At 38.3% G+C, this 10384-nt stretch overlaps 1 protein-coding gene across 3 annotated transcripts in view; it reads right to left on the bottom strand.

The window, feature by feature from the left end:
* Positions 1-10384, bottom strand: part of ZNF277 (zinc finger protein 277) — a 137240-nt gene that overhangs the window by 15910 nt on the left and 110946 nt on the right. For all 3 annotated transcript variants that reach the window (NM_021994.3, XM_011515768.4, XM_017011720.3), the window contains 2 exons: positions 9752-9843; positions 198-308 (listed from right to left, as the gene is read on the bottom strand). In NM_021994.3, the coding sequence (NP_068834.2) occupies positions 198-308; positions 9752-9843 (203 nt within the window). The remainder of the gene's footprint in view (positions 1-197; positions 309-9751; positions 9844-10384) is intronic.

The following is a 10384-nucleotide window of genomic DNA, read 5'->3' as shown; positions in this document are numbered from 1 at the left end:
GTGTATTTGAAAAATTTAAAAAACACCAAAGGGCAATATGATCTAGACAAAATAAGGACTGTCGTACAAAATGTGAACTCCTCCAACATGGGAAATTCCCACTTCTTTAATTACTCTATTAAATTAATTTAAAAATATTCACAACAGAGTCCAAGATTAAAACAGCTTTAGGCAGTGTTTCATAAATCAGTACTTACTTGTCAAGCTTTTTCTGTAATGTACACAAAAATTCATTGCAGTTTACAATGTTGTCTGGCAATCCAATGTTGAAAGCATGTTCTCTGGCCATGTGGTTCAAAATAACAGATCTAGGAAGAAATTTGAGCAATTAGGATTATTCACAAATCATCTAAGAACACATTTGGGTTGGAATAGCATTCACATAATAAAAACACTAATTAGAGGTATAAGCAAGTGCTAAGCACTAACACAAAGATTTCAGCTATTAAAGAGTGACATTATAAAGTATGTAAGTGTACACAGTCACATCAGTTCTGTAAAGGGATACCAAAGTTTGTTCTACTATCTGCTGCTTGGCTACACTCTATAGAAGAATCAGGTTCTGTCCTTTAAACCAGGGGTATCGGTCCATGGCCTGTTAGGAAGCAGGCTGCACAGAAAGAGGTGAGAGGCGGGAAAGTGAGCATTACCACCTGCGCTCCGCCTCCTGTCAGATCAGTGGTGGCATTAGATTCTCATAGGAGCGCGAACCCTTTTGTAAACTGTGCATGCGAGGGATCTAGGTTGTGTACTTCTTATGAGAATCTAATGCCTGATGATCTGAGATAAAACAGTTTCATTCTGAAACTGGTCCCTGGTGCCAAAAAGGTTGGGGATCACTGCTTTAAACTATTAAATTAACTGTGCTGCTTCTACTTTTCCAATTCATCATGGAGACGAGTAAGAGGCAACTGCCTAACAGAAAATACAACCAGCTATGACCTAAGATCACAGGCATTTAGCCAGAGTATCATTGGACAATGACCTGGAACCCACAGTTAACAGGTCTATTAAATGCAAGGGCTGTGATAACCTGCAAAACAATGACCAACTTCTTGATTAATTTATACAGAAAAGGACAAATGTAATTATGTAACTTTTACATAGCAAAAAAGCATATGTGTATAGTATATTCTACAGAGCTTTTATCACAACTTTAGTTCATAAAATAAAGGTGATTGTTTTGGAGAGCCTCATCAGTATAAGTACCATTGATAGACTATGCATAGTGACATATCATATGGTTTTATCTAGATTATTTAGACACTTACCTGGTCCCCCCCCAAAAAAATGTTTTCAGTGTTTTTTTTCCCCTTGAGAAAGTGAAATAAAGAAATAAAGCAAACATTTCTATAAAAATGTTTGTTGACTTTTTTTTTTTTTAACTATGTAAGAGATACATTTATTAACCTTGTGGTTAGTATGCTCATTTGTCTCACTGCCTATTACTGATAACTTTGACTAAAACTACTTGTTGGGGTAGTTCACAGTGCCTTTTGGGCCCACAAAGGTTTTCCCAGGGGCAGCCCAGACAGAGCTAGACCTTTCCAGGGGTTCCAGACCTGAGGCTCAGGCTGTGGAAGAGTTCAGGTGAAAGCAGAGCTGAGAGCCTCTTGTAGGCAGTGTGGTAGGTGTGTGTGTGTGTTTTGGGGTGGGGGAAGGGTGTCAGGCAGAGGGTAAGAAAGTTCCCCCTATCCCCGAGGCCATGTTGGGGTAAAGTACAGTGCCTCTGGATTCAGGGAGGTTCTCCTAGAGTGGCCGAGCCATAGTTAACATCTGCCTAGAACTTCCAGGATGAAGATCTAGAGCCTAGATTGTGCCTGGGTGCTGTCAGAAATGGTATCTGACTCAAGGGGTATGGGTGGGTTGGGAGGTTTCCCTCACCCTCAGTCTATCTAGGATCAAAATATCTTGCCATTAAGAGTCACACTGAATGTACTCAGGGGAGCTGAATCCGGCTCTCAACCTCTCTGGGGCTCAAGAATCTGGCATCTAGAGTCTGAGTTACGAGATGAGAGGCCAGTGGTTGGCTCCTGGGGTAAATGAGTTTGGAGGCTTGGCCAGTCTCGAAGACTCTGTTCAGGTAGGCCACAGTGGCTTCTGGGACCTAAGAGGATTGGTTCAGCAAGGATTTTGGCCGCAGCCAGCAGCTTGCTGGGAGGGATGTGGGTGGAACAGACTGACAGTCCTTAGAACTTGTTTCCAGGCTTATAGGCCAGACCTTCCTGACTCCAAAGTGTTCCCCCAACAGTAACCAAGCATGTCAGGTCTACCCAGGGCTTTCAGGCCTGACACCCAAGCCTTGGAATGGACCAAGAGCTGGCTCAGGAGGTATAGGTGTACTAGGAAGGTCCCCATGATCTCAGGCAATGTTGCCCCAGAGAACAAGCCCATGTGTGAGCCTAGGCTTGCTCTGAACTTTTTTGGGGCCTGCCAGACAGGAATACAGATATTGAAAGTGAGGGAACGAGGGCTAACAAGCAGCTGTCTCAAAGCAGATATGAGTGTTGGGAGGCTACCCTGGCCACATACTTAATTGCTACCATCCCTAATGCCTTCTGGATCAAGGACAGTTCTACCACAGTGGGCCAAAATTGAGCCAGGTTTGCCAAGGGTTCTATGACTGACATCTAAGAGCTGGAAGGAGACTGAGTGAAGGCAAAGTCAGTGTTAGGAAGAGGGTTGGTGGGGTTAACAGTCTGCACTTGGTCCCATGCTCTGAACTGGTGGTCCTTGATGTCTTCTGGTTTCAGGTGAGGTTCCCCTAGGAGTGGCCTAGCCTTAGCCAGGACTACCCAGGATTCCAAGCCTGATATCCAGGCTCTGAAAAGGGGGCCAGGTACAGATGGAACTGGCAGCAGGCTCAAGAAGGGGCTGGCTGTCCTCTCCAATATTATGGTAGTTTATTTTACAAGTCAGCTTGACCTGGTTAAAGGATGCCCAGATAGCTGGTAAAAATAGCATTTCTAGGTGTGTCTGTGAGGATGTTTCTGGAAGAGATTAGTATGTGAATCAGCAGACTGAGTAAAGAAGATAGCCCATACCAATGAGGGGAGGCATCATCCAAGCCATGGGGGCCCAGATAGTTGAGCTGGGAAATTCATCTTCTCTTGTCCCTAGGTATTCAAGTTCATGGTTCTCTGGCCTTTAGACTCAGACTGAATTTACCACTGGCTTTCTTGAATCTCCAACTTGCAGATGGCATACTGTGGCACTTCTCGGCCTCCATAATTGTGTGAGCCAATTCCCATAATATGTCTCCGCTTATATATCTATATATAATATTGGTCCTGTTTCTCTGGAGAACCCTGACTAATACAAGTACCTAAGTGGTTTGCTAGCTAATTCAAAATTAGCTTGATTCAGCCTATTAGTCTGAGGTGAGAAGGGAGGAAAGGCTTCACCCTTGTAGCCACAGTTGCTGGTTGGTAAAGGGCCAAGAAAATCTTTGGGGCTTTGGAGTAGAGATGGCACCTTATGTGATCTGCTTCATGTCAGATTTTGAAGTCCTTTAATTCTTGATCAGCCAAGATGATTCCTCAAATTGCTGAATTACTTCTTTAATTTTTAAATTAATTCCTAATGTCAACTTGCTTTAATTTATGGGAAATTAAATGCATAACAGTTTAAATTATTATTGCAACTCCTTTCTTTATAAACTTAATTTTATTATTAATGAACTAACTGTACTTTGAGTACCCATACAACTATTTTGTTTTTTACTTTCAGTGCAATATGCAATAAATTACATCAGATATTCAAACCTTTATTATAAAGTACAGTTTGTGTTGGGCAATTTTGCCTATCTGTAGGCTAATGTAAGTGTTCAAAGCATGCCTAAGGTAGGTTAGGTATATTAAATTTTTTTTGACTTACAATATTTTAAATGTACAATGACTTTATTGAGATGTAACCCCACTGTAAATCAAGTAGCACTGGTATTATATTTTTTCACATTCACAATGGTCCTTAAAAGCATGTAATAACTATAAATACATAATACCTTTTGGGCTGAAATGAAGTTTTACTTAAAATATTATTTCATGTACTTTTCCTTTCAAATATTCTTTCCCTATACTTTAGGAACAAATATTTCCCTACATAGTGCTCTCTGATCTCATTTTTTGTCCTGGTTTAATACTGTTTGTAATCAGTTTTCACTAAACTTATAAATGTGATTTGGGCAAACAGGATTAAATTACAGAAATAGCTTTGAGAGAAGCACTTCTGGAACAGTGGGGCATGGACCTCTGAAAATCTGCTCCTCTATTAAAGCAACAGTAGCACTGGTGAAAATGGTCGAAATCAACTTTTTAAGCACTCTGGAATTAACAGAAAGGATGCAACAATCCAAGGAACATTTATTTAAGAAACATGGCTCAACTGTGGTAAGAATGGTGAGCTTTGTGATGTTTTAATTTGCCCCATTCCATTCTCCTCCCCTTAGCTCCACAATAGCCTTGACAACAGCAGGCTCACAGCCACTGGAAGGGGCAGAATACAAGTGGGCCATTCTGAAAGAACTGTTACAAGAACTGTTACTATTCAGCCTGTATGGCAGGTGATGGGAAAAGGCACATTCACAGGGTTTGTCTTTATTTGACATGATTCAGTCCACCCATTGAAAAAATTCTCACCCCTAGGGCATTTGCCAGAAACAATCAGTGACAATTTTGTAACATCACAGCTGCCTGAGGCAATACTAATTGCAGCAAACAATAGGCCAAAACATTTAAAAGGAAAATCTGGGTAATGAGGTGTCTACAGAGGACTCTGAAAAGTTGACATTTTCCTGGGGATCTAGAAGGCAGTACACATGTGCTGGTCTATGTAAGCCCCAGAAAAACCTGTGAAGATCCTACTCTCTCACCTCTGATTAACCCTGAAACTCTACACAAGCAAGAAGTGGAGGCTAAACCAGAACTGTAAACTGATGAAGTGTTGAAGGTATGCTCCAACCCACATACAAAGCCCCTTGGCAAAAGGCAGAAGATACAGTGGTTCAAGGAATTTAACGAAATCTGTCGGATCATTATCTGAACACTAAGCTAACTGTGCAGAGACTTCAGTGGCCACACAGTAGCAGTAATACACACTTTGGAGAATTAGTCCAGGAAAGTCACTAAACACACAAAAAGTAACAAAAACCCTGGTGGGGTGGAGGAGGAATCCAATTTCCAGAGTTGCCACATTATATTACTTAAATGTTGAGTTTTTGACAAAAAAATTACAAGACATACAAAGAAATAAGAAACTTTCCTCTACATACATGGGGGAAGAAAGCAGAAACAGAAATCACCCCTGAGAAAGTCCAGATGTTGACACACCAGACAAGGACTTTAAGTTAGCTAATATGAATATGCCCAAAAGAACTAAAGAAACCCCTGTCTAAAGAATCAAAGGAAATTATGAAAATGATATCTTACCAAACAGAATACCAATAAAAAGATATAAATTATTATGTATTTTACATAGGCAGAGTGGCCAATAGTAGCCAGAAAGTATTTTTTTTAAAAAGACAACCAATAGAAATTTTGGATTTTAAAGTACAATAACTGAAATAAGAAATTGACTAGAGGGGCTCAAAAGACTTAAGCTGGAAGTAAAAATCAATGAATTTGAAGATTGGTCAAATGGGATTTTCCAGTCTTAGAAGAAAAAAACAAAACAAAAAAATAAACACAGCTACAGAGATCAAGTTTACCAACATATGTATAATATGCTCCAAAAGGAGAGCAAAGAGAGATAGAGAAACAGAGACAGAGAGAAAGGGGGCAGAAACAACATTTAAAGAAATAATGTCTGAAAACTTTTCGAATTTGATGAAACACATTAACTTAAACATCTAAGAAACCCAATAAACTTCAAGTAGGACAAATCAAGAGAATTAATCCAAGAAAATCACTAAACACACAAACAGGAACACAAATCCTGGTGGGGCAGGGGAAGAATCTGATTGATGATCTCTGTAGCTGTTTATTTTTTTTTGTTCTTTTTTTCTTCTGTCCCGAAGACTGGAAAATCTCAATTGAACAATTTTCAAATTCATTGATTCTTACCAAGAGATAAGAGATCCTTACCAACACGTAAACTGTCAACAGGCAAAGATGAAGAGAGTCTCTTGAAAGATGCAAGAAAAAAGTCAACTCCTTACATACAGGCAGGCAGTCCTTAGTAAGTGATTTCTCACCAGAAATTATGGAAACTAGAAGACAGTAGAATGTCATATTCAAAGTGCTGAAGGAAAAAGACTCTCAGTCAAGAATTCTACATCCTGTAAAACTATTCCTCAAAAAAATGATGGAAGAAAAAAAATGAAGGACAAATCAAGACATTTCCAGATAAACAGAAACTGAAAGAATTCATTACTAGCAGATCTCTCCAACAAGAAACTGAAGAAAGTTCTTTAGGTTAAAAGAAAGGGACACTAGACAATAACTCAAATCTACATAAATAAATAAAGATCACCAGTAAAGGTAATTACATAAGTAAATATGAAATACAGTATAATCGCATTTTTATGACCCTTTTCTTCTCATATCTGATATGAAAGATAATTGTATAAAGCAGTAATTAGAAAACATGTTCATGAGCTGATAATATATAAAGGTATAATTTGTATGACAACAATAGCACAAAGGAGTGAGGAGGAAACAAATTATATTGGAGCAAAGTTTTTGCATATTATTGAAATTAAGTTGTTATTAACCTGAAACAGATTGTTTTCAATTGAAATGTTAATTGCAATCCCCAGGGCAAACACTAAGAAAAAGAGTTCAAAATCTATGGTATAAGAAACAAGGGAGCCGGGTGCGGTGGCTCACTCCTGTAATCCCAGCACTTTGGGAGGCTGAGGCGGGGGGATCACGAGGTCAGGAGATCGAGACTGTCCTGGCTAACACAATGAAACCCCATCTCTACTAAAAATACAAAAAATTTGCCGGGCGTGGTTGCGGGCGCCTGTAGTCCCAGCTACTCGGGAGGCTGAGGCAGAAGAATGGCTTGAACTCGGGAGGCGGAACTTGCAGTGAGCCGAGATCCTGCCACTGCACTCCAGGCTGGGCGACAGAGTGAGACTCCATCTCAAAAAAAAAAAAAAAAAAAAAAGAAAGAAACAAGGGAACTAAAAATCATACACTAGAAAATACCTATTCAACACAAAAGAAGGCAACAATAGAGGAGAATAATGAGAAGACCTAAAACATATTGAAAATAAATAGCAAAATGGTAGAAGTAAATGTGATCTTATTAGTAATGACATTAAACACGAATTAAGTACTACAATGAAAAGGTGAAGACTGGCAGAATGGATAAAAAATGATCCAACTGTATACTGTCTATAAGATATACTTTCGATTCAAAGACACAAACAGGTTAAAACAAACAATGAAGGGTGTGGAGGAGAGGAGAAAAAGTAGATGTATGGTAACAAGAAAGTACTCATTACTCTATCCTTGTCTGTTATCCATCTCCTTCTTTCTACATTTATGTCCCAATGCATACACAAATATTCCATATTTATGTCCCAAGGCGTACACAAATGTATGCCTGCAACACTGTTAATATAGTGCATAGGTGGAATCAAGTTGTGTCTTTAATCTTACAGGCTGAGCTTTTCATAAATGAAAAGAACTGATGAATGAAAGGGGACGTTTTATAAGAACTAGACACTATTTATCTTTCTCACTGGTTATTTTAAAAAAATGTGCATTTACTACAGAACAATGGCATAAGTCAAGACTACTGAGGAGGTCATGTAATTCCTATGTGACCCTACTCAATACAGAATGCAGATAAGTTAGACTAGAAGAACAGGAGGATTATATTAGGAACTAGAGAAACACCAATATTTAATATGTTCAAATACTAATACTGTAAGAATTTAATGGCATATGGATATTTCAAATCATATCAGTATCCACATTAATCACTAGAACTTTATAGAAAACAAAAATACCATTTGTAGCTTCCCATATGCCGATATGAGAGATCTCTGATGATAATCACATGCCTCCTCACTAGGTCAATAATTACCTCAACATAAAATCGGAAATATTTTGTTAAAACATTGTCAGTAGTAATGTTTGGTAAATTTTCTGATGGTGGCATGGGTTTTCACTGGTACTTTTAAGTTAACTTTTAAGACCAGCCTTTATTGTTATGCCCGTAAAGTCCTTTGAAATAGAAGGACAAAGTTAGAAGTACGATCAGTGGCCTTGGCACCGATTTTTCTCTATGCTAACTGATCTGAGAATCAAACCTTTACCACTGGTGTTTTGAACATTAATGCCTCAATTAAACTCTTTTATAATTTATAAATTTAATTTATAAATTTATATAATTTATATAATATATATTATATATATTATATAATTTATAAATTATAATTTATAAATTCCAATAAGTGGCTACCTTCTCCTTTCCAAGGTTTTTCACATAACAATGTCAGTTACTGTGCTGGGCTATGTTTTCACTAAAGACTGCTTTCTTTCAAGTGAGCAGAGAATGATATTTTTCTGATTGTCCCCTGTATGCTGAATCAGTGAAATCATCCTCAGTTCCTAGAGGTTACAACTTCATAACTTGTATTTAAGTGAATGTATATTTGTAAACATTGCTGATGCGTAATAATAAATGTGTCTGCTCTTTGTCTCTTGTCCCTAGCACAAAGTTTCTAGTAATTTTTCTAGTGATAGGAGTATCTTTATTATATGAATGAGGAGACTCATGGTAGGACCCTACATAGCTTCCAGATGGGGAATGTTCATCATAAAGACCAACCATATGATTAGAGGGTTGGGACTTTGAGCCAGTCAGACCTCCAGAGAGGGGAGGGGGCTGCTGATTGAGTTCAATAATTTAATCAATCATACCTACATAATGAAGTCCTAATAAAAACTTGGGACACCAAAACTCAGAGTAGGTTGCTGGTTGCTGAATTCCTTAATGTGCTAGGAAGGTGACAGGTCCTAATTCCTTGGGAAGAGGATTCAGAAACTCCTTATTCAGGACCCTCTCAGACCCTGCCCAATTTGTCTCTTCATTTGGCTGTTTCTAATCTGTATCCTTTATAGTAAAACTGTAATCATAAGTACAGTGCTTTCCTGAGTTCTGTAAGTAATTCTAGCAAATTATCAAACCCATGAAATTATCAGTGGGAACCTCTGACTTTATAACCAGTGGTCAAAACTTTGGGTAGCCCTGGGACCATATGAGTTTATGGCTGGTGTCTAATGTGAAGGCAGTCTTGTTTGAGCCTGTGCCCTTAAATATGTAAAACCTTATGCTAATCCCAGGTGATTAGTGCCAGAATTGAATTGTACTGCACCAGCTGGTTTTGGACCAGCTGGGGTTGGTGATAGAATCACCAGTGCCCCCACTTCTTTTTTATGTCTTTATTTTTAATAACCAAAAGTGAAAAGTTACCAATGATTTAGAAGAAAAGAGTTAGTATACAGAGGTGCATCTGCAGTAGTTTGCTGCATATGGTCTTGCAGGTCAGCCAATTTTAAAAGTCCTGTAATATTAAACATAAATCTGCTTCTGTCATTTTAAGAATTTATACCCCTCTGCTGCTTAGAGCACCTACAGTTCATCTTGGACGTTGGGTATATTTTTAAAAAGGACTGCTTATATACGAAAGGGTCCTGAGCCAACACATAGAACTTAATTTATATAACCAACAGTTAGGGATGTTCTGATGAGTTTTCAGATTAAAAACAGTAACATTTAAAGATGCAAAATGGCAAACCTGTTTCCAAGGAATTCTTCATTGCAAAACATACAAACGCCATGAAAATTGGTATCATTTCGTTCTTGCTGCTGTTGTTCCAGAATTTCTCTCTGGAAAGTAGAAACAGATTTATGGTATTATCTTAATGCACAATTGGCTAATAAAAAATGTCAAAGTCTGGATGGGAGGAAACTGGGCTGGAAGCATAAAGGGAGTATATAAAAGTTGCCAACATTTCAAATTTCTCCATTCCTGTTTTTGCATTAAACTCCAAGTCTGTCCCATAAAATGCTTACAGAACACTCCACTTTAACAGCTATGTGGGAATTAAAATCAACAAGGTTTTACCGTCCTTTGCTACCCTGTCTTTTCCAGTGTTTTCCCATCCCTATCCTCTTCCAAAACCAAAATTGTGCTGGGATCTTTGACTTGCTCTTTTCCCTAATTCTCAGTTTGATTTGTAATCAAGTTCTGATCAATTTTTCATTTGAACTATCTTCCATATAACTTTTCTCTACCATTCCCAAGGTCACCCCTCTGAGTTCAGTTTTTAGTCATTGTGGGTTACCATAAATAAAGTCTCCTAAAGGTTCTCCCTGATTTCAATCCCTTTTCTAACATATTCATCCTCTTTTTGCTGCTAGAATTTTT

Source organism: Homo sapiens, chromosome 7 (assembly GCF_000001405.40).
Source record: "Homo sapiens chromosome 7, GRCh38.p14 Primary Assembly".
Taxonomy (NCBI): domain Eukaryota; kingdom Metazoa; phylum Chordata; class Mammalia; order Primates; family Hominidae; genus Homo; species Homo sapiens.
Note: the sequence above shows the minus strand (reverse complement) of the source record. Positions and strands in the feature narration are given on the sequence as shown.